Source organism: Homo sapiens, chromosome 6 (genome assembly GCF_000001405.40).
Source record: "Homo sapiens chromosome 6, GRCh38.p14 Primary Assembly".
NCBI lineage: Eukaryota > Metazoa > Chordata > Mammalia > Primates > Hominidae > Homo > Homo sapiens.
In genome coordinates this window covers 149,470,941-149,498,616 of record NC_000006.12, presented here as the reverse complement: position 1 = coordinate 149,498,616, position 27,676 = coordinate 149,470,941, and the positions used below count along the sequence as shown (strand labels likewise).

Below are 27,676 nucleotides of genomic sequence, written 5' to 3'. Positions count from 1 at the left end.
AACTCCTGGTCTCAAGCAGTTCTCCCGCTTTGGCCTCCCAAAATGCTGGGATTACAGGTATGAGTCACCATGCCTAGCCTCCAATGTATGGCCTGTCTTTTAATAGAGTTTTGTAGAGTACAAGATTTTAATTTTTCTGCAGTTTATCAGTTTTTCCTTTTATGGATTGTGCTTTTGGTGTCAAAAGTAAGAACTCTGCCGAGCACTAGCTTCCGAAATTTTTCTCATACTTTTAATTTTTTTAAAAAAATTCTCTAGTTTTACATTTAAGTCTGTGATCCATTTTGAGATTTTTTTTTTTTTTTTTTTGACTTATGAACATCCACTTGTACTGGGACTATTTGTTGAAAAAGGTCTCTGGCTGCTTTTAAGGTTTACCTTTGTCTTCGGTATTCTAGAATATTCCACTATAATGTGTCTAGATAGGGATTTCCTTTATCTTTCTTGTTATATCCTGTGTCTGATGGCTTAATGTTTTTTATTATTCTGGAAACTTCTCTGCCATTTTTTCTTCAAATAGTCTCTCTCCACATTCTATCTATTATTTCCTTTTGTAATCTTAGTCAGTTTTATGTAAGGCTTTCTCCTCTTGTTCTTTGTATCTTAACTCATATTATCCAGATAGTTTATTCTGAATAATTGTTTCAGGTCTATATTCCAGGTCACCCACTCTTTTTCACATAAGCCCAGTCTCTTATTTAACCCATCCACTGAATTTTTAATTTCAGTAATTTTTTGTTTTTGGAGTTCTGTTTGATTCTTTCTTGAATTTTCCTGGTTATTTTTGATTTTCTGTTGTTCTTTGCTCATTTATTTCCACTCTGTTTTATTTACATAATTATATTGTTTCTGATAATTCCAGTATCTTAATTTCTTAAGAATTAAAAAAGTTTTCCTGCTGACCCTTGTGCGTACTGGCTTATTTCCTTGTGTGTTTCAGATTTTTTTCCCCTTAAATTGGGAGGACATACTTTGGGACTCCTAAGGTACCTAAAATGAAGATGCTTTTCTCCAGAGAGGATGCATATTTACCTTTCAGACTCCAGGTGATGCAATCACTTGGGGCCACTTTCATTTGTGGCTTGGAATTTCCATGTGCAAGCATAATGTATTTTTGAACCCTAGACCTTGATGAAAGTTGACAAAGTATCAGGGAAAACATATCTAGCATTAAGATCTCCCATCTATACCCCCATCATTGCAGAACTGGGTAAAACGCAGGTGTTGTTTTTTTGTTTTTTGTTTTTTTGAGATGGAGTCTTGCTCTGTCACCCAGGCTGGAGTGCAGTGGTGCGATCTCAGCTCATTGCAACCTCCGCCTCCACCTCCCGGGTTCAAGCGATTCTCCTGCCTCAGCCTCCTGAGTAGCTGGGACTACAGGTGCCTGCCACCACGCCTGGCTAATTTTTGTGTTTTTAGTAGAGATGGGGTTTCACCATATTGGCCAGGCTGGTCTCGAACTCCTGACCTTGTGATCCGCCCGCCTCGGCCTCCCACAGTGCTGGAATTACAGCCGTGAGCCACCGTGCCCAGCCTTAGTGGTTTTTTTCCTAGCCCAGTCTTTCTCTGACGAACTTGTTTTAGGTGAGCTCTTCTATTATAGTCTCCTGGCTTCATGTGAAGATCTTAGGCTCAGCTTCCCAGTTCTCTTTTAGGTCCAAAGCCTTGTCTTTATAAATATCCCTCATCACTGTGACCTGAAGTCCTTAGTCCCCAGCTGTGCAGGCAAGGGCATCCTGGCTAGTGGCCTGTTTACCATTTTGTTAATATATTTGTGAGTCATGAGGAATTTCCCTGTCTTGCAGTCTCATCAGTGCATGTAAAAGTATGATTGCTGGCTGAGTGCAGTGGCTCACGCCTGTAATCCCAGCACTCTGGGAGGCCGAGATGGGCGGGTCACCTGAGATCAGGAGTTCAAGACCAGTCTGGCCAATATGGTGAAACCCTGTCTCTACTAAAAATACAAAAAATTAGCTGGGCGTGGTGGTGCATGCCTGCAATCTCAGCTACTCGGGACGCTGAGGCAGAAGAATTCCTTGAACCCGGGAGGCGGAGGTTGCAGTGAGCTGAGATCACACCATTGCACTTCAGCCTGGGCAACAAGAGTGAAACGCCATCTCTAAATAAATAAAGTATGATTGCTGTAATTTATCCAGCATGTGGATGTTGTATGGAGGAGGTGGGAGGGGGCGGTTACAATTCAGAATATCTAGTTCACCATACAGCTAAGAGCAGTTGTCTCCCTGCTATTGTACATAATTCTTAGCCATGAATAGAAAACATTTTAAATACATAAGAAACTATCACTCTGAATATAGAAAAATACATACTGTTCATACAGAAGATTCTAAAATGTAGTCTGAAAGAATGAATGCACAAGGGAGAAATGTTGGTTGCAGGTGATGGAGCAGTGAGAGGAAATAACCTCCTCACTCCCGAAGCTTGATTCAGTAGATCCAGTGGGAAAAACCAAAGTAGTAAAAATGTTTGAACCTATCATTGCAAGGCAAAACTCTCCTTAATTGCAAATGCTGCAATTAGGTATGAGAAACTGGTTTTAACAAAGATGTGTGTACAGAAACGTAGTGTTCATCACGTATCCTTGATTAGATGCAGCGCAGTCTTGGCTTCATGATACTACTACTAATCTACGGTAAAGTGGCCATGTTTCCTATTTCTTCTCTTTTGCTTCTCTAGGTTTTAGGTGAACTCTTAAAACCAGTCTCCATTTATATATTCTACTGGCTTTTGCTAACCTGTCCCCGCAACCCCTCCCCCGGAAAAAAGATTGAGTGAGCTGTTGGTAGTCAGATATTTTTTAAGTTAAAAAGCTGTTTGGGGCTGGGTGTGGTGGCTCACCTGTGATCCCAGCACTTTGGGAGGCTGAGGCAGGCGGATCACCTGAGGTCAGGAATTCGAAACCAACCTGGCCAACATCGTGAACCCCTGTCCCTACTAAAAACACAAAAATTAGCTGGGTGTGGTGGCAGGTGCCTGTAATCCCAGCTACTCAGGTGGCTGAGGCAGGAGAATTGCTTGAACCTGGGAGGCGGAGGTTGCAGTGAGCCGAGATCGTGCCATTGCACTCCAGCCTGGGTGACGAGTGGAACTGCATCTCAAAAACAAAAAATGAAACAAAACAAAACAAAACACCAAAACTATTTGGAGCCTAACATTTCTCAGTTATTATAACTTCACTGTAAGGTTTCAGCTTAATCTTTCTTACCAGTTGAATTTTCAAAGATTTTGATCAGAACTATTAAAGGCTAAATAAAAGAAACTTTAAATACACTCAGCAATCATACTTTTACAAGTGTCTTTTAATAAATTAGTTGCTTTTTAGTTACTGAAAAACATATTTCATCTTGGTTTTCTACTCATCATAAAAACATTTAATCTTAAGTTTGACATTTCTTACCCCATCTAGACTGAGTCACAAAGAATGCATAATAGCTAGTAAAATCGAAATCACAGGAACCTTACCTTTCAGTGGCTGTTGCTATGAAACCATGTTTTGATGGGAAATTTGAGAGAACCCTGGGCTTCCTGTTATTAAATGACAGATTGTGGAGATCCCCTTGATTTTCAAAACTCTTTTTTTTTTTTTTTCAAGACGGGGTCTTGCTCTTGTCACCCAGGCTGGAGTGCAATGGTACGATCTTGGCTTACCACAACCTCCGCCTCCCAGGTTCAAGTGATTCTCCTGCCTCAGCCTCCCAAGTAGCTTGAATTACAGGCACCTGCCATCATGCCCTGCTAATTTTTGTTATTTTTAGTAGAGACAGGGTTTCACCATGTTAGCCAGGCTGGTCTTGAACACCTGACCTCAAGTGATCTAAGAGCCTCAGCCTCCCAAAGTGCTGGGATTATAGGCATGAGCCACCACACCCAGCCCAGAACTCTTTTTAAAGCAAGTCATTTTAATTACTCTTCTGCTAATGGGAAAATCTATATTCTTACCTTATTTTACCCACATTCGACTACTAGTTAGGCTTAATTTTGCTAGGGGCACTGTCAAGAGTTAACAATTTTATGTTTTCGCCTCCTCTGCTATTCTTTGTTCATTGAATGGGCAGATGAGCAGGGTTTTTGAGTGATGTTTTTATGGGCAATTAAAAAGTTGTATTGGCTGGGCACGGTGGCTCATGCTTGTAATCTCAGCACTCTGGGAGGCTGAGGCACTGATCCACCTCAAGTGGATCACTTGAGGTCAGAGGTTTGAGATGAGCCTGGCCAACATGGTGAAACCCTGTCTCTACTACAAAAATTAGCCAGGTGTGGTGATGCACACCTGCAATCCCAGCTGTTTGGGAGGCTGAGGCAGGAGAATCACTTGAACCCAGGAGGCGGAGGCTGCAGGGAGCTGAGATCACGTCATTGCACTCCAGCCTGGGCAACAGAGCGAGACTCAGTCTCAAAAAAAAAAAAAAGTTGTATTGCTGTTATTTACTTAAATGAGTAGAGTACTAGGAAGCTGGACACACATAAAGGTTGCAAATACAGTATCATTCTAGCAAGAGAGTTTGTGTAGAAAGAGAAGTTAGGTAATGCTTCTTTGTTGCTATGAATCTACAACAAGACCAGTGACCTCTGGCTCCTGAAAAAGAGAAAAGTTTTGTTTGCTTGGTTTGGTGGAGAGAGCTGGGGAAACCTGAGTCAGGAACAAAGGCATATGAAGGTGGTAACGAGCCAGGTGCAGAGGGAGAGCAGGGCGGTGTCTGACTACTGCCGAGGCTGGGAAGGCAATGAGTGTCAGGAGGGAAGAGGAAATTGGGAAAGGGAGAGTCCCAAATGCAAAACTGAGAAGCTTGGATTTGCTTCGCCAGGCCCCAGAAAATAAGGAAGAAAGTGGCACTGGGATAGCTGAGAAAAGTTACTCTGGGCGTTGCATGTAGGACCTTTACCATGGGTTGGCACCACAGTCCTCACATGGCATTGAACACGATTTCATTCAATATCGATTCCACACATCACCCCAAATGCAGACGTATATCAAGCAGGCTTCCCAGAGGAGATGATGCAGACGCTGAGGACTTTGATATCTCTTCTGCATTTGATATCCAAGTTGGTGCAGTGCTAGAACGTAGAACAGGCACAACGACAACAACGTTAAAGTCATACAGTCTTTGTTACATAATCACTCATTTGTTATCACAGAAATAATACCAGTATCTTCAGCATGACCAGGGATGGATGTGGTTTTAGTAAACCTGATAGGGTGTAAGCAGGATCAGAATGGAGCCCACATGGTCGACCGTGGCCTGTGCTGCGTTCATGGGATGTGTAGCTGAGGGCTGACCTGGAAGCATCTTGGGCACAGGCTCTTTGTTGGATTCATGGCACAGGAGAGAGTGCCTCACATAGAGCAAGAAAGTAGCCTCGAAAGCACTGCAATCTCAGCAGGTGGCAGTGCACACTTTTAACTTCATGATAAGTGATGTTTCATTGTTGTATTGATCATTTTCTACTACTCACTTTCTAAGAACGCACAAAAAACACACACTCATGGTCTTTTCCCCTGGCATATGTTTACAGGAAATAACACGACAGGCATGACCATGATACATGCTTAATTTTTAGGTCTGTCCTAGATGTCCTTCTCACTGCACAACCCCAGCACAGGCAGGCACAGGCAACACTGCATCACATGCAGACAGCTGCCCCATGGCCTGCCAACCCATCCTCCAGGCTCAAGGCTTCACTCCATAGCTCTTTCACAGTCTTCTCATTAGACAGCGAGAATGTGCTTAGCTGTGAGTAAATGGTTATCACAACTAAGAGCTCTGAGGGAAAGTGTTTGTGGGCTTGAAGGGTGTATTAGTTTCCTAGGACCGTCACAACAAACTACCATAAGCAGGGTGACTTAAAACAAGGTTGGACATCGTGGCTTACACCTATAATCCCAGCACTTTGGGAGACCAAGGTGGGAGGATTGCTTGAGGCCAGGCCTTCGAGACCAGCCTGAGTAACATAAGAAAACCCCATGTCGGCCGGGCGCGGTGGCTCACGCTTGTAGTCCCAGCACTTTGGGAGGCCGAGGCGGGCTGATCACGAGGTCAGGAGATCGAGACCATCCTGGCTAACACGGTGAAACCCCGCCTCTACTAAAAATACAAAAACTTAGCCGGGCGTGGTGGCGGGCGCCTGTAGTCCCAGCTACTCGGGAGGCTGAGGCAGGAGAATGGCGTGAACCCGGGAGGCGGAGCTTGCAGTGAGCCGAGATCGTGCCACTGCACTCCAGCCTGGGCGACAGCGAGACTCCGTCTCAAAAAAAAAAAAAAAAAAGAAAAGAAAACCCCATGTCGATGACGCAGTTAGTTGGCTGCAATGGTGCCGGTGAGGCGGGCGGCGAAGTGGCGGCCTGGTGGTTTTGAGGTGCGTGGTGAAGGGGTTTCCACGTTCGGGTACAGGAATAAGAATGTGAAACAGAAGACATGGCGGCCTAACCACCCGCAAGCCTTCGTGGGGAGCGTTCGCAAGGGACAAGGCTTTGCTTTTCGAAGAAAACTGAGAATACAGCAAAGTTAAAAGAAATTGCTACGGAAGGAAAAGAAGGCCCAAACGTCACTGGAATCTCAATTCACAGATCGATACCCAGATAATCTGAAACATCTCTATTTTCAGATAGAGGAAAGACTTAGGAAGCAACCAAAAAAAGTTGACCATCCTTTGTCAGAACAAGTTCACCAGCCTTTGCTTGAAGAACAGTGTAGCATTGACCAGGCTTTATTTGAAGATCAGTGTAGCTTTGACCAGCCTCAGCCAGAAGAACAATGTAGTAAAACAGTAAACTCCTTTACAATTCCAAAGAAAAATAAAAAGAAAACATCAAATCAAAAAGCACAAGAAGAATATGAACAGGTACAAGCTAAACGTGCTGCTAAGAAACAAGAATTCGAGAGGAGAAAACAGGAGAGAGAAGCCCAAAGGCACTACAAAAAGAAGAAAATGGAAGTGTTTAAAATATTGAACCAAGAGACTAAAAAGGGCCAACCAAACTTGAATGTACAAATAGAGTACCTTCTTCAAAAAATACAAGAAAAAAGTTAAACATTTTGTTCCTACAGGTTAAAACACCTGCTGCCTATTAGGTTCTTCTGTGACAAGTGCCTTCCAGCAGTGAACTAAATTTATTAACATAAACTGAATTGCTAAACTATGCTAAATATAAGATGTTCACATTTTTCATTATAGTAAAAAATTTTCTAAATATGTTCTACATATGTTTCTTATTTATTTGCCTCTGAAGGAAGGTTGGCCTGAAGAACTGAAAGAACCTCCTATGTGCAAGACAGGCCCAAGCATGTAATACTTTTGTACCATATGAGATTTATATGAAATAAAATTTTTTAAAAATAGAAAAAAAAGAAGACCCCATGTCTACAAAAATTAAGAAATTAGCCAGGTGCGGTGGTGCATGCGTGTAGTCCTAGCTACTCAGGAGGCTGAGGCAGGAGGATTGCTTGAGCTCAGGAGTTTGAGGTTACAGTGAACTGATTGTGCCACTGTACTTCAGCCTGGGTGGCAGAATGAGATTCTGTTTCAAACAAAACAAAACAAAACAAAATCTATTATCTCACAGTTCTGCAGGCTGGAAGTCTGAATCAAGCTGTCATCAGAGCCATGCTCGCTCTGAAGCCTCTAGGGAAGAATCCTTCCTTGCCTCTTCCTAGCTTCTCATGGCATTCGCTGGCTTATAGCTGCATCATCCTCATCTCTGCCTCTGTCTTCACATTGCCTTCTTCCCTGCGTCTCCTCTGTGTCTCTCTCTCCAAATTTCTCAGTCCCTTCTTTTAAAAAGACACCCTGCCTGGGCACAGTGGCTCATCCCTGTAATCCCAGAACTTTGGGAGGCCAAGGCAGGTGGATCACCTGAGGTCAGGAGATTGAGACCAGCCTGGCCAACGTGTAGAAACCCCATCTCTACTAAAAATAAAAAAAATTAGCTGGGCTTGGTGGCAGGTGCCTGTAATCCCAGCTACTCGGGAGGCTGAGGCAGGAGAATCACTTGAACCGAATCACTTGAACCCGGGAGGCGGAGGTTGCAGTGAGCCAAGATTGCGCCGTCACATTCCAGCCTGGGGGAAAAGAGCAAGACTTCGTCTTAAAAAAAAAAAAAAAAGACACCCATCATTGGTTCATTGGATTTAGGGCTCACTCTCATCCAGTATGAACACTTCTTAACTTAGTTGTATCTGCAAAGACTCTATTTCCGAATAAAGTCACATTCACAGATATTGGAGGTTAGGACTTGAACGTATCTTTTTGGGGGCACGATTTAACCCACTATAGGGTGTAAGGTGTTTGCAGAGCTCAGGAAAAGCTACCCAGCACTTTGGCTAGAGGTTAGCAAAGATGTTGAACAGATACTGAGCTGAGCCTTAGAGGCCACATTTCTAAACATAGAATGTTGCAGGCATTCAAATGTGACCACTTACAATCCCACATCATTAGCCCAGGAGTAGGTGCTTCATTTTAACATGCGATCGTCACTCATTCTTTGCCTTCAACCCAAGGTTCCTCTACCTGTGTCCCATAGTGCTCATGTCTTTTCATTCAGTCTCTCTTCCTAGCAATGGGTAGCATGTTAGTACAGGCCATCTCATAGTTCCCTGGGGGCTTTTTGTAAGAGAACTATAGCTTCCAGAAAAATGGGTCTCTATACACCAGGCACTCTTCTAAGTACTTTATAGACACTAATTCCTGTAATTCTCACAGTATCCTTATGAGGTAGATAAGATTATTTATTCCCATTTTACATATTAGGAAACTGAAGTACAGAGGTTAGATAATTTGCTCAAAGTTACACAGTTAATAAGTAGCAGAGCACTCTGGCTTCAAGTTCATGACACCAAACTGCCTGCCATTATAAGCTTAGATTCTTTCCCTACCAAGATATGCAAGAAAAGAAAAAAGAAACAATAAAAAAGAGCTTAGATTATTTCTCATACCATTTATCAAAATAAATTCCAGGTCATGATTAAAGACCTGAATGTAAAAAATAAAACTTGGGGTGGGCATTGTGGCTCATGCCTGTAATCCCAGCACCTTGGGAGGCCGAGGCAGGGGGATCACTTGAGCCCAGGAGTTTGAGAACAGCCTTGGCAAGACGATGGTTCTGCAAAAATTTAAAACATTAGCTGGGTGTGGTGGTGCACCCTTGTAGTCCCAGCTACTTGGCTGGGAGGACGGCTTGAGCCCAGGAGTTCAAGGCTGCAGTGAGCTATGATTATCCCCGTACACTCCAGCCTGAGCAACAAAGACCCTATCTCAAGACAAACAAACAAAATAAATATATAAACATTAATACAAATAAAAAGAAAAAAAGTCTACAGAATAGGAAAATGGGCAATGGAAGAGTGAAAAATGAAAACTGCAATGCCAAGAAACATATAAAAAGATCCTTAAGTTCACTAGTAACCAAGGAAATGAGAGTTAAAATAACCATGATATACCATTTCTCACACATCAGATTAGCAGAAAGCACTGAGATTGTCTCAATCTCAGATGTTGGCAGGATATGGAGAAATGGGGACCCCTCCCATGCTGCTGGTGAACGAGTCATCGGAGAGCAGCTGAGCAGTTTCTAGTGGGGCCCAACCCATGCGTGTCCATGTCACCACTGCAAATAGCTATATATACTCTCTTTTAGCTCACTGGAAAAACAGGTTACACAACCAATGATATTCATGGTGTTCACTGATGCTGTAGATAGAAGGGGGCAGGCAAGCCAGGGGGTCCCCACCTGGACCCATGGATGGGCTTCCAGTCTCCAGGACAAATGCTATCTCTCTGGGCATCTGTGTCTTCCTCTGTGGTGATGGTCCGTACCCACACGTCTGCCATCCACCGTCTCAGCATCTCTGGACTGCTTCCTGAAAGCACAGACCTCAGTCTCACCGTAAGGGCCAGAATGGGCAGAAATAGTTTTGGGGCAGATCCAATGCCAATTTTAAACAGGGCAGAAGGAGAAAGTGTGTGAGGCTCACTGCCCTACTCTCTTCTCAGTGCTCTAATAGTGTCCAGAGATGTGTGGACATTGGCCCCACTGACACAGCAAGAGGAAAGCCGTGGCCTTCTCTCTCTCTTTTTTTTTTTTTTGAGATGGAGTCTCGCTCTGTTGCCCAGGCTGGAGTGCAGTGGCACAATCTTGGCTCACTACAACCTCTGCCTCTCGGGTTCAAGTGATTCTCCTGCCTCAGCCTCCTGAGTAGCTGGGACTACAGGCACACACCACCATGCCTGGCTAATTGTTGTATTTTTAGTAGAGACGGGGTTTCACTATGTTGATCAGGCTGGTCTTGAACTCCTGACCTCGTGATCCACCTGCCTCAGCCTTCCAAAGTGAGCCACCGCACCCGGCCGCCATCGCCTTCTCTTACATCTCTCAGAGGCAGAGCCTAGTTTTGGGTCAGTGATGCTGTAGCTAAACTTGTTGTAACCCCTGGAAGGCCTTACTTTTTGCTCAAGTGTGCAATAAATAGCCTCAACAACGATTTCATTCTTCCAGCTTGTCAGAGTCATGGCAGCAAAATCATTTTAGCTGTGGAGGATTCAAGATGAGGTTTCTCTAAATCAGATACTGTAAGAAGACTGTAGCGTGGCTCTTTTCTTAAATCAAATAACCATTTTTCTGGCCTAAATAATGTCTCCAAAATTTAAGGCAGAATTTTGGGGGCCTCCACCAAATGCTTGCTTGTCTGCGTTGAGCCGATTCCGGAATCTCTTTTGAGAAGCAGTTGGTGCTGCCCACTGTGGCCCCTATCCTGTGCGGACATGCTGCTCACCTGGGGCTGAGTACACATCGGGATTCCTAAACTTCATTGCCCAGACTCATCTTTTCTTACATGCACAGCCAGGTCGCACTTGGCAATATCCTCAGAGAGTTTCTTCTTTGATTGGTTGCTATCTTATACCTGCAAAAAATGTGGCTCAGTCATCTAGTGTTTGAAAGAGATCATCCAAGGAAGCCATTGCACTATGTGTCTCTGAGTTCTGTTGCTTTATTTGGTTAGATGATTAGAGAAGAAGGCTCTTGGACAGCGGTAGCTCATTTCCCCATAGAAACACCTTCCCTTGAGTTGAGGTATGATGTCATACTCTCAGCTTTTACTGGGGCGTGTGGTGAAGAATGGGCATTTGAAGACCAACATGGCATCTTCTACAGGACTTGAGCTGAAGATATTGACGATTTCTTACTCAATGTAAGGATTTAGATCTCTCCTAATTTTTTTTTTTAGATGGATTTTTGCTGTTGTTGCCCAGGCTGGAGTGCAACGGTTAGATCTTGGCTCACTGCAACTGCCACCTCCCGGGTTCAAATGATTCTCTTGCCTCAGCCTCCCAAGTAGCTAGGATTACAGGCACCCACCACCATGCCCGGCTAATTTTTGTATTTTTAGTACAGACGGGGTTTCTCCATGTTGACCATGTTGGCTAGGCTGGTCTCGAACTCCTGACCTCAGGTGATTCGCCTGCTTTGGCCTCTCAAAGTGCTGGGGTTACAGACGTGAGCCACCGCACCTGGCCAATCTCTCCTAAAATTTAACATCAGGAATGTGTTTATTTCTCTTGGAAACTCTGCAACTTTTTTTATGGTTTTGGGAGCTTGGAGGCAATGTGTGTTTGTGTAAGGCACGTTTTTGAGCCTGATGGCCCTGGGCTTCCATCTTCACTCAGCCACTTAATGAGTGAACGTGGGCAGGTTGGCTGCCCTTTCTCAACCCCAATAACCTCATCTGGAAATGGGAATAATTATTCCAATGCCATCGAGCTTTTGTGGGGATTAGGGCACTTTGATGTAAACTACTATATATATCATTGGTGCTAAACAAATAGGAGTTGTCGGCCGGGTGCGGTGGCTCACGCCTGTAATCCCAGCACTTTGGGAAGCCGAGGTGGGCAGATCACGAGGTCAGGAGTTCGAGACCAGCCTGGCCAACATGTTCAAAACCCATCTCTACTAAAAATACAAAAATTAGCCGTGTGTGGTGGTGCGCACCTGTAATCTGAGACAAGAGAATCGCTTGAACCCAGGAGGCGGAGGTTGCAGTGAGCTGAGATCACACCACTGCACTCCAGCCTGGGCGACAGAGCGAGACTCCATCTCAAACAAACAACAACAGCAAAAGAAAAAAATGGGAGCTGTTACTTGAAAATCCATTGTACCAGAAAATTTCAAAGCTAGAATTAGTGTTCTAATGCAGTGACTACTCTAATCTAGCTTTCTGGTATGATGTTCTTTTTTTCTTGTAAGGATTTCTGATTGAACTTTCAAAAAAATTTATTTATTTGTTTTTGAGACAGGATCTCACTCTGTCACCCAGGCTAGAGTGCAGTGGTGCAATCATAGCTCACTGCAGCCTCAACCTCCCAGGCTCAAGCAATCCACCTCAGCCTCCAGAGTGGCTGGGACCACAGGTATGTGCCACTATGCCTGGCTAATTTTTATATTTTTTGTAGAGCTGGGATTTGGCCATGTTGCCCAGGCTAGTCTTGAACTCCTGGGCTCAAGCAATCCTCTCGCCTTGGCCTCCCAGAGTGCTGGGATTACAGGCGTGAGACACTGCACCTGGCCTAATTTTTTATTTTAATTATTCCATTCTCTGTGTTTTAATCATCTACACTGCTTCACATTTTCTTTGGGAGACCGGTGGTGAATAAATAAAAAGAGCTACACATTCCAGTTACCATGTGCCATTCTTACCTCCCTAGCACCAACACCTGGGTTCTAAACCCACCTTGGCCAACTGGTTGACTGTGTGTCCTGGAGCAAGTTGCTGCCTGAGACAGGGAGGTTTGTTGGGAGGTGGGCTACTGTGTGGGTTGATTGTGTTCTTTCCTCTTCTTCTGACCCCTGATGGGCATCACCAAATTTAGGAAATAATTTCAGAGTTCTGGGTCTGTTGCCTGTACCTGGTGAGGCTGGAGACCAGGCAGTCTGCAGAATGCTGTGGTCAGGTGGGTTCAGACTTCCCCTGCCACAGTGGGAGAGAAGCCACCACCCACGCCACGCAGGGCGGCAGTAGGGAGCCACAGGGCCATGTTATCTCTGACACAGGCTAGTGCCTTGGTCCCTAGTCAGAAGGACTTCGTGACTCGTTTGGAATTCCCCTTCGTGAAGGCAGGGACAGAGTCCTCCCTGTGCCATGTCCCCATATGCACCCATATCTCCGTAGCCATCTCTGCTCTGTCTCTTGCTCTGACACTCTTCCTCCTGCAAGCTATGTTTGTGTCCAGCTGTGAGTACCGACTTTCCCCAGGAGCAGCTAGAATCTGATCATCTTCTCAGCTGGAGGCAGGAGAACTTCTGTTCCAAGTTCCCACTTGGAACAGGGGTTCTCCCCCTTGGACTCTGAATGCTGTTCTCCTCATGGAGCCTCTCCTGGCTTTGCTGTGCAGCCAATCCCAGCCGTCCTCACGGAGACTTGCTGCCCTCACGGAGGGTTTGTTTTGCATGTGGTTGCTGAACTTTGATTCGGTGACTCATGCTGAGGTGCAAACTTTAAGTCCCCCCCGCCCCTTTAATTGCTTTCTTCCTTTCCTTTTTTTTTTTCTTAAAAAAAAAAAAACCAAAAAAACCCAAAGCATAACTACTTTTGCAGCTGAACGTGACTGTGGCGTGCAGGAAGTGGAGCATTGGCATGAAGTGGCTCCTAGTGGCTGCTTGGCGCACGCCAGCTGCCCTCCTCTGACTCCAGTGGCACCTGGGGGCCTGGCCTCACTGACGGGAGAACATTGGCGTGAAGGCTGCTGGCGACTGGGCCAGCATTCATTGTGAAGACCGGAGGGACACACCCTGCTGGTGAGTGCATGTCCCCTGGCTGTCAGTCAGTGTGGCCAACACCACGCAGACTTGAGTCCAGGGGTGGAGGAGAGAGACTGGAACCCCGGGGCAGAGGCAGGAGGAGGGCTGTTAGAGAGCAGTCCTTGGGGGCGTGTGACCCTGAACAATCTGATTTCTCACACTCTAAATTATTTTAAGTGCTAAATAAAAAAAATAAGATAACCCTCTTTAATTTCATTTAGGTGAAATCCTTGCTCATTTTAGCAAAATTGTGCTTAATTTCCAGATGACATTTTTGGGGGAAAGATTAACCAGAGGGAGCTCTTCAGTTTCAGTAAAACCTCCTGCTGTGGCCTTTGAAGATATTTACGTATTAGGAAATCAGAAAGAGTAGAACTCCCAGGCACATTTGAGCCCTGTCACCATGCTCATGAGAGCATCTTCTAGACTAGTTATCATCTATGGGAAGCCTAGTTTCCAGGCTGAATGCAGTCAGGAACTTTTGGTAGCATCTCTTATAGAGGATGCCTCTGTGGGCTTCCCAAAGGCTAATGAGGAAACTGAACTAAATGTTAATCTGACTGCAGTGAAGACAAATTCCCTGCAGCCATAAGAAACCTCAGCTATGGCCCCCAAGATTATGAGCTTTTCTCTAAGGCCAGGCAATGCCAATCGTGGGGTGCCCATCCCTGACTCGTGAACAGGCTGGGGTGTGGACTACAGTAGAGTTGCTCCGGGATGTGGATCGGGGCTTAAATGCTTGTGTGTCCGCCTTAGAGAAACCATCACAATGCAGAAGAGCAGGGGACAAGTTTGAGAAAGGAAAAGGCCAGGCCGGCACACTTATGTTCACAGCAACATCGTTCACAGAGGCCCAGAGGCAGAGGCAACCCAAGTGTCCACTGAAGGGTGAATAGATAAACGTGATGTGGTGTATACATACAGAGGAATGTTATTTCGCCTTAAAAACGAGAGAAATTGGCTGGGAGTGGTGGCTCACACCTGTAATCCCAGCACTTTGTGGGGCCAGGGAGGGAGGATCCCTTGAGGCCAGGAGTTTGAGACCAGCCTGGGCAACTTAGTGAGACCCCCATCTCTACAAAAAATAAAAAAAACCCTGCCAGCCATGGGAGTGTGTGCCTGTAGTTCCAGCTGCTCAGGAGGCTGAGGTAGGAGGATTGCTTGAGCCCGGGAGTTTGTATTGAAGATATAATGCTGAGCAAAATAAGCCGGTGACAAAAGGACAAATACTGTACAGTTCCACTCCTAAGAGCTGCCTAGAATCATCATATTTATTGAGACAGAACGTACAATGGTGGGTGCCAGGGACTGGGGAAATGGGAAGTTATGTTTAATGAGCTGAGAGTTTCAGTTTTGCAGGCTGAAAAGAGATCTGGAGCTGGATGGTGGTGATGGTTGCACAGCAGTCTGAATGTGCTCCATGCTACTGACCTGTACCCTTAAGATAGTTACAGTGGTACATTTTATGTTACATATAATTTACCACAATTTAAAGAAAATTAAAAAAATTTACAAATTCCCTTAAAAAAAAATAAAGGCCAGGCGAGAAATACTTGTCCCATGAACTACCGTCTTTGCCTCTCTGTGACTTCCTCAAAATCTAACTGACAGCTCCACTGAGGGCCTCTAGCTCTGAGCTGAACCAGAAACTTTCTGTTTGGCCTCTGTGGAAAAGCTCAGGACAAGACAACTTTCTCCTCACCATGGTGGCTGAGTTCTGGAGGCTGTAATTTCGTGGATTTCTGTGGAGCTGGCAGAGGTGACCCGGGAACAGACTTGGGGGGCAGGGGCGAGGTGTTAAGTGTGCTGGTCTTGGGGCTGGGCTGGCTGTGGTCTGCTCCATGGCACCTCATGGTGGCTGCTGGCCTTTGGGTGGTACCTGAGCAGCCCTGGGCGGTGCCTTCTGGCCAGCCACCTTTGGGAGTCTGGTCTCCCTTATTTACAGTAGGGGCCTGGGTATGTCACCAAAGCCGCTCTTTGCCTCAGTTTCCTCCCCTGCACTGGGAGTAATGAGGTGGCTCCCAGGACACTGAGGTTCCCATAGATGTGATAATATACAAGGAAGCACCCGTGGGAGCTGCCACGTCTCCGCCTACTCCTTCTCTCCTCTTTGTTTCTCTTTTCCTCAGGGCCCTTCTAGTCAGAGGCTGCAAACTAGAACCCGGGACCCCTCCCCTGTATTGGCTGATTCTAGAATGGACAGATCTGATCTGTTCCAGCCGTGGGGCCCCCTCCCTTCCTCCCTGCTCTTCCAGGCCGCCCCGAACCCACCCCCAGCAGCCCGCTCTGACAACAGGAAGCTGCTCCTGTGACCTCCCAGGGCCTTGCCGGGCCACTTGGAGGATTTTCTAAGTGTTGTCGCTAATCATCTGGACAGAGTGTGACTTCCAGTCAGGACGGAGGAAGGAAACTGAAATGAAGTCGTTCAGATTTTCAGGTCTTCAAAATAGGAAGGAGGAAACGAGACGCGGCTGGCAGAGCTGCAGCTCAGAGACCATCACGTCCCGGGGGAAGGCTGCGGCTCCAGGGCCGAGTGGGCTCCTAAGAGCAGCACCCCACTCCTGTCCCCGCTTCTTCCGTATTTAGAAGTTTTAAAAAGGAACCAAGTTGATTTTAAAGTCTCAAGGGAGAAAAAGCCTCTGAAGTAGATGCATTCTTTCAGTTTAGTGTGAAAACAGCTCTCCTGGCCACATTTGCCCCTTTCAGTCTCCTCAGAAAACGGGCTGTGGGCTGTGCCCCGAGGGCCCCTAGGGGAGCTGCCCCTTACTTCGGCCCTGGGCGGCTGTCCCTGCGCCCCTCCAGGCGAAAGCCCCCAGTGTTTTCATTTTGGAAACGCTCATGTTTCTGTCACATGGAGCGCAAGTTACAAAAGAAACTTGGACTTTCCTCAGAGCCGTTCCTTGGTAACCGAAGAGAAGTCACCTGACCCAGCTAACAAGATGCTGCCTGTGTCCTGAACACATCTCAAAACGACAAATCATTTTTGTCACTGCCGATCATCTCTGCCATTTTACTAGCCATGCAGCCTTTACTTTCCGAGCCTCAGTTTCCTCACCCTCGGGAAGGGAACACTTGTATCTACCCCATCTTCCCACCAGGTGTAACGGGAAGGCCTTGGATACAAAGGCTGAGCCATGGCCGGGAGCATGGCTCACGTCTGTAATCCCAGCACTTTGGGAGGCTGAGGTGGGCAGATCATTTGAGGTCAGGAGTTCGAGACCAGTTTGACCTACCCAGTGAAACCCCGTCTCTACTAAAATACAAAAATTACTTGGGCGTGGTGGCATGTGCCTGTAGTCCCAGCTACTCAGGAGGCTGAGGCAGGAGAATCGGTTGATAATCAGGAGGTGGAGGTTGCAGTGAGCCGAGGTCGCACCATTTCACTCCAGCCTGGGCGACAGAGCAAAACTCTCCCTCTAAAAAAAAAAAAAAATGCTAAGCCACAGGAAGGTGAACTTTTCTGTTCCTGTCTCCTGTTCCTTTCTTCTGGTCCTTTCTCTCTCTTAGTTCTCACCCTCTTTTCTTTCTCCCACATCTCCTCCCTCTTCCTTTCTTTCTTTTTCTTCCAAATTAAAACAAACGTCACAGTGCCTGCGTGGGGAGGGATGGAGGTGGCTGGGGCTGTCGGGGTGGGAAGGCTTCTGAGGGGTGTGGCTGTGGGGTTTGCCTGTGATGCAGATGTTCTGGGTGAGCGAAGAGCCTGACTGGAAGCCTTTGGGCTCAGTGAGAGGCTGGCCTGTCAGGCTGGGTGAGTGTCCCCTTCCTTTATGGAGTCTGGGCTGCAGGTGGACCTCAGCTGAGGGGACAACCGTCCTGAGAGAGAAGGACTGGTCACCAGTCAGGGAGGAGGTGAGGCTGGGCTGGAGGCAGGTGGCCAAGAGCCTGGAGGGTGTGTTGGGCCCGACTGTGATGATGGCGTGGAGTGTGACACGGCCCTTCTTCGCACTTGGAAGAGCCAGTCTCCTTTCACTGTGCAGTTCAGTTCTCTTCAACAGTTCCTTGGCCTTCCCTGCCCCTCCAAGGAAGATAAGACCTTCCTCACCTGTTTTTTGTTTGTTTTTTTTGTTTTTTTTGAGACAGAGTTTCGCTCTTGTTGCTCAGGCTGGAGTGCAATGGCGCGATCTTGGCTCACCGCAACCTCCGCCTCCTGGTTTCAAGTGATTCTCCTGCCTCAGTCTCCTGAGTAGCTGGGATTAAAGGCATGCGCCACCACGCCCGGCTAATTCTATGTTTTTAGTAGAGACAGGGTTTCTCCACGTTGGTCAGGCTGGTCTGCTTGGGCTTCCCAAAGTGCTGGGATTACAGGCATAAGCCACTGCGCCCAGTCAGTTCTGGTATCTATTGTTCTCTTCTTTGTGTCCACATGTACTCCGTGTTTCACTCCCACTTATAAGTGAGAACATGTGCTATTTGGTTTTCTGTTTCTGCATTAATTCACTTAGGATAATGGCCTCCAGCTCCATCTGCTGCAAAGGACATGATTTTGTTTTTTATGTCTGCATAGTATTCTGTGATGTATATGTACCATATTTGAAAACACATTTTTCTAATTGAAAGTACGTGCTTATCTTCGTGGTTTACAGCTCATTGTTAATGTTTTTTGTCTATTTTCTTTAATTGATTGTGAATGAGTTGACATTGGATTGTCTTATTTTGTTTTCATAGAGCTGGGATGCAGCACAGTGCCGGTGTTGAGTCAGTGAGCGGCAAATGTTTCTTACACAAGGGAGTGAATGAGCTAGGGTGGTGGTGGTGTGAGTGCGAAGGGGAGGGTGGTTATGGAAAATGTCCGGGAAGTAGAATTATTGGCCAATGGGTTGTAGAGGTAAGGAAAAGAGAGGAGTGAAAGGGGACTTCGAGATTTCTTCTTTGGGCCTCTGGGGGATGCCATTCAATAAGATTGGGGGCCAAGGTAAAAGATATTTGAGGAGGGAAGATAACTTTAGCTTTGGACATTTAGTTTTAAAAATCTATTAGGGCATGGTGGCATACACCTGTGGTCCTGGCTACTTAGTAGGCTAAGGTGGGAGGATCACTTGAGCCCAGGAGTTCAAGTCCAGCTTGGGCAACATAGTGAGACCCTGTTTCTAAAAATTAAAAAAACAAATCCATTAAACTCCTCAGATATACTAGGCATCATCTGGTGCTGGTGATTCTGAGGCAATAGGTCAGGATACCTGAGTAATTCAGTGTCTTGAGAAACAGAAGAATGATAATTCATTGTGTTATAAGACAGGTGTGAGCAAAGTGCTGTGGTAGATGAGATGGCCAAGCTGCTCATTCTGTCTGTAGGCTCCGGGGTGACTGCTCTGAATAACATCTGAGCTGAATCTTGATGTCTTCCAAGACAAAAAGAGGCTTCCAAGTAGAGAGGAAAGCATATGCAGAAACACAGTGCTGAGAACATTCTGGTTTTTTGTTTGTTTTTTAAATTTAGTTTTATTTTTTAAGAGATAGGCTCTTGCTCTGTCACCCAGGCTTGGGTCAGTGGCGTGATCACAGCTCACTGCAGCCTCAACCTCCTGGGGTCAAGTAATCCTCTTGTCTCAGCCTCCTGAGTGGCTGGGATTTCAGGCACACGCCACCATGCCCAGATAATTTTTAACATTTTTTGTAGAGATGGGATCTCACTATATTGTCCAGGCTATTCTTGAACTCCTGGGCTCAGGCAGTCTTCCCACCTCAGCTTCCCAAAGTGCTGGGATTACAGGCACAAGCCACTGTGCTTGGTGTGAGAACATTCTGGAATGCCTAGGGAGCAGGGAAACATTCAGCATGGCTCTAGAGAAGGGGTCAGGTGGGCCAGGGGCAGGCAGTGAGGTGGTCAGTGTCAGGGCTGCTTTGTGACAACCTCGGCAGCCTGTCTAGGAATTTGGTGTATTTCTTGTAGCCAATGAGGAGATTTCGAAGCAGGTGGCGAACATGATCCGACTTGTTTTAGAAATACAATGTTGGCTACAAGCCAGATGGAGGCTGTTACAGTCATCAGGTATGGGGTGAAGATGGCAGGACTGAGGGGTGGGTGGGGCAGAGGACAGTAGGAGATAGATGTGAGAGGGCCAGATTAAGGGAGTAAAGACACTGGATGTTCTGTACTGGGGCCCTGGGAGAAGGAGGGCATGTCTATAGGTCACCTACATGGTGTCAACTATGTGGAAATACCTGTTGGAACAGCTCTAGATTTAAGAATTAACTTTTTAGTTTCAGAGCCCCTTTATACTCTTAAAAATTATTAAGGTTCTTAAAGAGGCTTTGTTTATGTGGATTCTATCTATCGCTGGATATGTACTTTATTAGAAATGAAAACTAAGAACTTAAAAAATTCATTTATTTCTACATAATAATAAACCAATTATACTGACATAAATGACATATCTTCATGAAAAATAACTTTATTTTCCAAAACAAAAAAAAAATTAGTAAGAAGCCTGGCACTAATTAACATTTCTGCAAATCTCTTTAACGTCTGGGTTAATAGAAGACAGCTGGATTCTCATACCTGCTTCTGCATTCAAGCTGTTGCGATATCACATAACATGTAGACTCTAGAATATTCTGTCGTACACTCAGGAGAGGATAAGAGTAAAGTACAGAAATTACATCTTAGCATTATTATAAAAATAGTTTTTTTTTTTTTTTTTTTGAGATGGAGTCTTGCTCTGTTGCCCAGGCTGGAGTGCAGTGGCATGATCCCGGCTTACCACAACCTCTCCCTCCTGGGTTCAAGCGATTCTCCTGCCTCAGCCTCCTGAGTAGCTGAGACTACAGGTGCACCCCACCATGCCCAGCTAATTTTCATATTTTTAGTAGAGAGGGGTTTTCTCTATATTGGCCAGGCTGGTCTCGAACTCCTGACCTCGTGATCCGCCCGCCTCAGCCTCCCAAAGTGCTGTGATTACAGGCATGAGCCCCGTGCCCGGCCTAAAAATAGTTTTTACCTTGAAGATGCCCTGAAAAAATCTTGGAGTCCCCCGGGCTTCCCTAGACCACACCTTGGGAACCACTGAAGTAGTCACTTAGCACATGTCTGTTGTGTGACTGCATTCTGAGTTCCCATAGCACTTAAGTAGCAAGCACAGTGTTTATCTCACAGACTTATAACTGTGCCTGGTGCTCAGTGGGAGGTGTGAGCAAGACATGCAGCTGTGGGGCCCATCGGAATATAGGTGCTGATGGAGGGTGTGGGTGGCACCCCAACACTGAAGGAGAGGGGAAAGAGCTGGACCAATTGAGGAGAAGAATCAGGCCAAGTTATACAGCCTAAGGGAACAGATAGTTTCAAGAAAGGGCAGTCCACAATTTTTTAATTTAAAATAACAAGTCAAGGAGTGGTTCCCAGTTTCAAAAGCGGCAGAGAGGTGGCATAAGGCAAGGACTGTGAAAGTGTTGTTGGATTTGGCAGTTAGAAGGGGCTGGTGCCCCTGGGGTCAGTTTCATTGTTTCACGTGGTGCCTGCCATCAGTGGGCTGAGGTGGAGTGGGAGGTGAGCAGGTGGACGCCGTGGCAGAGGCCTCTCTGTCCAGGGGGCTGGCTGTGAAATGCCCTTCACCTGCCAGACCCTGCCATTGTTAGACCTGCTGTGGCTCCTGAACTCCTGGGACAGGCCTGCAGAGAATGCCAGGCCAAAGTGGGAACCTGGCTGAGTGATGTGATTGACACAATGAAGTCAAATAGGAGAAGAGGGACTGAAGGTCAGGAGCCTGTGATACTGAGATGAGGATGAGGGAGAAAGGTGGATGTGCCGGAATGTTCACTGAGCCTGATTTGTAACAGTGAAAAATGGAAAACAAACTTTCATCCTATGACATATGGTTAAACACTGAAGAACGTATTCACTCATTCATTCATTCATTCATTCATTCACCAATCAACACATGTACGTTGAGATTCAGCTGTGTGAGTCACTGTCCTAAGTGCTGGGGATACAGTGAGCAGTAGAACAGGTAAACTAGCATGGAAAGATTTCCAAACTGCATTTTTATTCTATTCTATTCTATTTTTTTAGACAGGGTCTTGCTCTGTCATCTGGACTGAAGTGCAGTGGTATGATCTCGGCTCACTGCAGCCTCAAACTCCTGGGCTCAAGTGATTTTCCCGTCTCAGCCTCCTAAGTAGCTGGGATTACAGGCCAACGCCACCATGCCCCGCTAATTTTTGTATTTTTTGTAGAGTCAGGGTTTTGCCATGTTGCTGTGGTTGGTCTCAAATTCCTAGGCTAAAGCGATACGCCTGCCTCGGCCCCCCAGGGTATTGGGATTACAGACAGGAGCCACCATGCCCAGCCAAAAATGCATTTTTTTTTTTGAGAGATGGAGTCTCACTCTGTTGCCCAGGCTGGAGTGCAGTAGCACGATCTTGGCTTACTGCAGCCTCTGCCTCCCAGGTTCCAGCGAGTCTCCTGCCTCAGCCTCCCAAGTAGCTGAGATTACAGGTGCATGCCACATGCCTGGCTAATTTTTGTATTTTTAGTAGAGACAGGATTTCGCCATGTTGGCCAGGCCGGTCTCGAATTCCTGACCTTGTGATCCACCCACATCAGCCTCCCAAAGTCCTGGAATTACGGGCATGAGCCACTGCGCCCGGCCCCCAAAATGCATTTTTAATAAGAAAAGCAAGTTGCTGAGCAATAAGTATAAGATGACACCATTTGTGTAAAACTAAACCAAAACAACTCTAAAACAATATTTGTGTTTATCTATTAGACATGCAAGTAAATGTACAGAGGAAGCACTAGAGGGGTGCGGAAAAACAGTAGGGGAAGCAAGTGGGTTTGGGGTGTGTAGGAGAAACATCATGTCTTTTCATTCTTTATGCTTCTACGTTGCTTGGAGTTTTCGCTTGCAATAAATATGTTTTCATGATTATTTCTGTATTTAAAAAAATTTTTTTTGAAATATATCGGTCTTTGTGGGTAGAAAAGAGAGAGGGACCAAGGCTGTCTAGAGTGTTCCTGTTGGTTTCATCATCATCATTTAGAAGCCATCTATCAGGACACAGCCCCCTTCCCAGGCCACCCCCCAACCCCCGGTGTAGGTCAGGCTGTAATGCCTGGCTGGGATGGATGAAATTTGGGGCAGGCCCCTTTTTTTTTTTTGAGACGGAGTTTCACTCTTGTTGCCCAGGCTGGAGTGCAATGGCGCAATGTCTGCTCACCACAACTCCGCTTCCCAGGTTCAAGAGATTCTCCTGCCTCAGCCTCCAAAGTAGCTGGGATTACAGGCGTGCGCCACCATGCCTGGCTAATTTTTGTATTTTTAGTAGAGACGGGGTTTCACCATGTTGGCCAGGCTGGTCTCTATCTCCTGACCTCTTGATCTGCCCGCCTCAGCCTCCCAGAGTGCTGGGATTACAGGCGTGAGCCACCATGCCCAGCCGGGGCAGGCCCTTCTATTGCAGAGGTTCAGTGTGGTCTGAGTTAATCATTAGGGAAAGCTGTGCAGGGCAGCAAGCAGAATTTGGGTGGGAGCACTGCCTTTCTGGGAGTAGAATTCGCCCGGGGGCATTTGGCCCTGGGTAAGCCAGGGGCCTGTGTTAGTCTGCTTGAAACCTGTGTTTGGCCTGTCCCGAGAGCTGGGTGCCCCAGAGCAAAGCACCACAGACTGGGGCGTTAAGGGAAATTCATCGTCTCACAGTTCTGGAGGCTGGAAGTTCAAGGTCAAGGTGCCTGCAGGGTTGCTTTCTCCCTTCTCCCTGAGTCTTCACATGGTGGTCCCTCTGTGTGTTATGTGTTCAAATTTCCTCTTCTTATAAGGACACCAGTCATATTGGATTAGGGACCTCCTTTTAGAGGTCATAGCTCTAAATATAGTCACACTCTGAGGTACTGGGGTGAGGAATTTACCATGGGAATTTGGGAGGTCACTATTCAGCCCCCCACAGAGTCTGAGAAACAAGAAACCTGTGTTTGGCCTGTCCCGAGTGCTAGGTGCACGCTCAGCCCCTGCAGCCCTGGTGTGCGGTCGGGTGTGTGCCCTGCCGGGCAGTGTGGGGTGAAGGCCTCAGTGAGCTCACTGTGAAAGCAGCGTGATTGCTTCTGCAGCTCCACAGCCACATTGAGCAACTGAAAGTCCCCAGTGGGACTGGGCTCCACCTGATTTCCTGACAGCTAGGCCGGGAGGGAGCCAGCGCAGGCACACCTTGCCCTTGCCCCAGTCTGCCCAGGAAACACCTGATGGATGCATTTTTTTTCTCTTTAGCTCATGTCTGCAGGGCTCTGAGAGGAGGAAGCCTGGGGCAGGACCTGCGCCAGTGGCCGCTGGGCACAGCATGGAGCACCCCAGCAAGATGGAATTCTTCCAGAAGCTGGGCTATGACCGGGAGGATGTGCTCCGGGTGTTGGGCAAGCTGGGCGAGGGCGCCCTGGTCAACGACGTGCTGCAGGAGCTTATCCGCACGGGCAGCCGCCCGGGTGCCCTGGAGCACCCGGCTGCACCCAGGCTAGTGCCTCGGGGCTCCTGTGGGGTCCCGGACTCTGCCCAGCGTGGCCCGGGGACAGCCCTGGAAGAGGACTTCAGAACCCTGGCCAGTTCTCTGCGACCCATAGTGATTGATGGCAGCAACGTGGCGATGAGGTAGCTTCCCTTCATCCTGTAGCTGGGGCTGGGGAGGCCCCTGTTCGCAGGAGCCCTGAGAACTGTCCCTCTTCCTTGTGGTTTGGTCCAAAGAGCTTTGGGGCCAACGGATCAGGCTTTGAATCCCTGTACCATCTCTTAGTAACTGTGTGGCATTAAGCAAGTCACTTAACCCCTCTGAGCTCATTTTTCCCATCTGTACGGTTGGGATAAAATCTCTGTAGAGGGTTTTTGTGCACAAAATGCCTAGGATAGTGCCTGACACAGAGTAAGTGATCAACAAGTGTAGCTGTTATGATCATAACCCAGAGGAAGAGCCTTCTTTTGGGGAAGGTGTGGTAATGAGGGAGGCGCCCTGGGTCAAGTGTTGGCAGATGTGGCTTCTTGTTGGGAGTCTGTCCCTAACCGGCTGCGAGACTCTGGAAAAGCTGCAGGACTCATTTCCTCTTCTGTGAAAGAGGCCCACAAATATCTCTTCTACTCTCTCAAGGTTATGAGCATCAGAGGGGAAGGTGTGCTTTGAAGTGCGCTGGAAGCCCTCTGCTGGGGTTGCTGGGGAGGCGGTGTTGCGGCTACCTTAAGTTTGAGAGATTTGTTTGTGGCCCCCTGAGCTGCAGATGCGGCTGTGTGAACATTTGTGTGTTGGCATCTTTGTGGGTTTTGGGAATGCCAGCCTCACGCCCGAGTTGTTATCTGCCTGTCTTGGCTAAGCTCCCCTGTGACGGAATCTCTGCAGCCTCCCCCAACACCCTGCTGGGCGAAGTGGGGCGTTGCCCAAACAAGTGGATTATTCTACCGCTTGGCTTTGTTACAACCGTGCAAAGGGCAGAGCCATAGGAAATGGTTCACTCCCAGCTGTAAATATATGTGCTTCCCTTTTCAAAAGCTGAGTTACTCCCACCATAGGTGGGAATCCAGAAAAGCAATTCTCCGCGGCACCGAATGTGTCAACAGAGCCTCCGAGAGTTTCCCCTGGGGATTTGGGCTCACTTTGGATTTGGTGTTGCAGGACCGAGGTTTGCAATGGTTCAGCCCAGATGGTCCAGCCTCAGGGGCTGTCCCTGCACTTTTTGCGGTGTGTACTTTGAGTTTTTTTTTTTTTTTCACTTTTAACCAGCTAAGTCTCCCTGGCATTGATGCCATCAGCAGGTGATGGAGCCCTCTCTTTCTCCTGGGACTTAGGGGCTGGCCCATGGGGTCTCTGTCACATTGTCACCCATGTCATGTATAGGCACCAGATAGGTAAACCTATGAAATTCTGCTCAATTTAAGATCTCTGGGAAGCTAAAAGGATTTTTAAGAATCCAGTAGGTTCTGAGGGTCCTAGAAAGACTAGAAGGGGTTGTGAGAGGGGCCTGGCCTCTATATGATCTGAGCAAGGAACCTCTTTCCCTGGGCTTCCATAGAAGGAAGGCTTTGAATGCTTAAATCAAAGACCTTCCCAGCCCTAAGGTTGTATGAGTTCTGTGATTCCAAATCAAAACAGCAGAGTGGCTGTAGGGTAAAAAGACTATTTCAGGGGCAACAAAAAACATGCCCAGTCCCCAAAGAGATTCTCTTTGGGGTGGTGGAGGGTTTTGTTTTTATGGGAGTCTCTGTTGCTGCTTGGAGTCAAACTTAAGCCACATCCTCTGTTTGCACATGACCATAATGTGTCGTGGGTACATCCATTGATCCCCCACCTCTGCCCCCCACCTCTCATGATTGCAATCAGATTAATTTTCTCATGTTCAATCTGTGCGGGTTATACATCGAAACCCTTACTCAGACTCACTACGAAGAATGTGTCAGAGCATAAATGTTCTCACACACTGGCTACCTCCAAAACACCTGAGTTAACCAGAACACATGTACCTGTGCTCTGTGTGTGTCATATATGGACACACACACACAATGTGTCTACACACACACATCCCCTCCCTCTTCCCTGGATCCCAGTAGTTAGGGAAAAGAGACAAATAGCACAACCGCCACCTGATCACAGGACTTAATTTGTTCCTTTTAAAGGCAAGCTCTGGGGAGAGTGGAGTGTGAGGTTCCACCCCATCCTCTGCCCCTTCTGCAGTGACATCTGTTGTGTCCTCCAATGGGACTTTTAACAGGACTCATGTCCCTCCGGGTCTGCCATATCCTTAGTTGTGAAAGGTTCAGGTGGGTGCTGACCCTTCACAGGCAATGGGTGATTGAAACCCAAAGTGGTGTCTCATTGTTATCTGTTGACCTCAAAATTCAATTAACCTCAGAAACATGGTTTCTGAAAATTCCCTTTCACTGAGGTTTTGTAGTATTGCAGACATTGCCATTTTCTGTTTTTGAAGGCAGTACTGCTTCATGCACTGTCTGGCCTTGCGGTGGTGGGGAGGGGCTTAAAGACTGAGTGGGACACCTGTTCTTTCCACCTTGAGCGGATGAGAAGTGTGGCTCCTGTTGGCAGGAATGTTCTTCAGTGTGCCTGTTCCTGGCTGTGGCTCTGTCCCCTGGAAGTGTCCTTCTGGAAGTTCTAGAGAAGAGTCTTTTTTATTTTTTCCAGCTTCTAGAGACTGTGTTCCTCAGCTCATGGCCCCTTCTATCTTCAAAGCCAGCAATGGCCTGAAATGATATACACAATGTGGCATGTCTGTGTACATATATGTGTTTCTCTGGGGGAAAGAGTCACAGCTTTCAATAGACACTTAAAGGGTCTGTCATCCCCAAAAATATGATAACCCACTGACATAGAATGAGACATTACAGATAATTCTATGCTTTGTGGCCAGGGATTTATTTTTCCTCTGCCTTTCAGGAGGCACTAGGCCATGTGTCCCCTGTTAGCACAGAGAATGTGAGAGTGGGCCATCAGTTCTTGTTCTGACCCTCTCAGTTACACAGGAAAGGACTTGACAGGCTTGACTATGGTCAACACTGGCTGGAATCAGACCCTGACCCCCACCTGTGCTTCCTAGCCATGACACAATAGGTAGAAGTTTCTGTGGGCTTCTTTCCCCAGTGCTTTAGAATGTTTAGCCCAATGCCATTGGTCGTGCTTGGCTGAACCCAGAAGACCTGGCTGCTGCTCTCTGGAGGTTGACAGAGTGGGCCACTGGCCCAGTGCTTTTTACAGAAATGGGCTCTCCTAAGCAGGACTACTGGCATCATTCCTCATTTTGTAAGAGGTGGGTCAACGTAATGAGAACTCCAAGTGATGATGTGGGGAGAGTGGAAGATGGGGACCTGGTAAACAGACCTATGGCTGCCCCCAGTTTTGCTGGACCTCTTGCTGTACCCCATAAAGGAAACCAGGGAAGTCAGAAGTACAGGA

At 47.0% G+C, this 27,676-nt stretch overlaps 1 protein-coding gene and 1 pseudogene across 1 annotated transcript in view, besides 10 other annotated features; both read left to right on the top strand.

Moving 5' to 3' along the window:
* Nucleotides 1,417-1,917: an enhancer, noted in NCBI's record as "H3K4me1 hESC enhancer chr6:149817836-149818336 (GRCh37/hg19 assembly coordinates)". NCBI's record gives its function as "activates a minimal SCP1, AML or CMV promoter by ChIP-STARR-seq in naive H9 embryonic stem cells {active_cell/tissue: H9 hESC(naive)}" and the evidence as "EXISTENCE:reporter gene assay evidence [ECO:0000049][PMID:30033119]".
* Nucleotides 1,629-1,848: an enhancer, noted in NCBI's record as "active region_25261". NCBI's record gives its function as "activates an Ori minimal core promoter by ATAC-STARR-seq in GM12878 lymphoblastoid cells {active_cell/tissue: GM12878}" and the evidence as "EXISTENCE:reporter gene assay evidence [ECO:0000049][PMID:35858748]".
* Nucleotides 6,317-7,361, top strand: LOC729496 (coiled-coil domain containing 59 pseudogene; annotated as a pseudogene).
* Nucleotides 13,217-13,426: an enhancer, noted in NCBI's record as "active region_25260". NCBI's record gives its function as "activates an Ori minimal core promoter by ATAC-STARR-seq in GM12878 lymphoblastoid cells {active_cell/tissue: GM12878}" and the evidence as "EXISTENCE:reporter gene assay evidence [ECO:0000049][PMID:35858748]".
* Nucleotides 13,412-14,276: an enhancer, noted in NCBI's record as "H3K4me1 hESC enhancer chr6:149805477-149806341 (GRCh37/hg19 assembly coordinates)". NCBI's record gives its function as "activates a minimal SCP1, AML or CMV promoter by ChIP-STARR-seq in primed H9 embryonic stem cells {active_cell/tissue: H9 hESC(primed)}" and the evidence as "EXISTENCE:reporter gene assay evidence [ECO:0000049][PMID:30033119]".
* Nucleotides 13,567-13,626: an enhancer, noted in NCBI's record as "active region_25259". NCBI's record gives its function as "activates an Ori minimal core promoter by ATAC-STARR-seq in GM12878 lymphoblastoid cells {active_cell/tissue: GM12878}" and the evidence as "EXISTENCE:reporter gene assay evidence [ECO:0000049][PMID:35858748]".
* ZC3H12D (zinc finger CCCH-type containing 12D) overlaps nucleotides 13,603-27,676 on the top strand; it is a 38,220-nt gene continuing 24,146 nt past the window's right edge. The window contains exons 1-2 of the mRNA NM_207360.3: nucleotides 13,603-13,804; nucleotides 24,004-24,378. Of these exons, the coding sequence (NP_997243.2) occupies nucleotides 24,074-24,378 (305 nt within the window). The 5' untranslated portion in view covers nucleotides 13,603-13,804; nucleotides 24,004-24,073. The remainder of the gene's footprint in view (nucleotides 13,805-24,003; nucleotides 24,379-27,676) is intronic.
* Nucleotides 14,999-15,058: an enhancer, noted in NCBI's record as "active region_25258". NCBI's record gives its function as "activates an Ori minimal core promoter by ATAC-STARR-seq in GM12878 lymphoblastoid cells {active_cell/tissue: GM12878}" and the evidence as "EXISTENCE:reporter gene assay evidence [ECO:0000049][PMID:35858748]".
* Nucleotides 16,023-16,878: an enhancer, noted in NCBI's record as "H3K4me1 hESC enhancer chr6:149802875-149803730 (GRCh37/hg19 assembly coordinates)". NCBI's record gives its function as "activates a minimal SCP1, AML or CMV promoter by ChIP-STARR-seq in primed H9 embryonic stem cells {active_cell/tissue: H9 hESC(primed)}" and the evidence as "EXISTENCE:reporter gene assay evidence [ECO:0000049][PMID:30033119]".
* Nucleotides 16,279-16,428: an enhancer, noted in NCBI's record as "active region_25257". NCBI's record gives its function as "activates an Ori minimal core promoter by ATAC-STARR-seq in GM12878 lymphoblastoid cells {active_cell/tissue: GM12878}" and the evidence as "EXISTENCE:reporter gene assay evidence [ECO:0000049][PMID:35858748]".
* Nucleotides 23,890-23,989: a silencer, noted in NCBI's record as "silent region_17661". NCBI's record gives its function as "represses an Ori minimal core promoter by ATAC-STARR-seq in GM12878 lymphoblastoid cells {active_cell/tissue: GM12878}" and the evidence as "EXISTENCE:reporter gene assay evidence [ECO:0000049][PMID:35858748]".
* Nucleotides 25,225-25,410: a silencer, noted in NCBI's record as "fragment chr6:149794343-149794528 (GRCh37/hg19 assembly coordinates)". NCBI's record gives its function as "represses an EF-1alpha promoter that drives an FKBP-Casp9 reporter gene in an ReSE screen in phorbol 12-myristate 13-acetate-treated (for megakaryocytic differentiation) K562 erythroleukemia cells {active_cell/tissue: K562(+PMA)}" and the evidence as "EXISTENCE:reporter gene assay evidence [ECO:0000049][PMID:32094911]".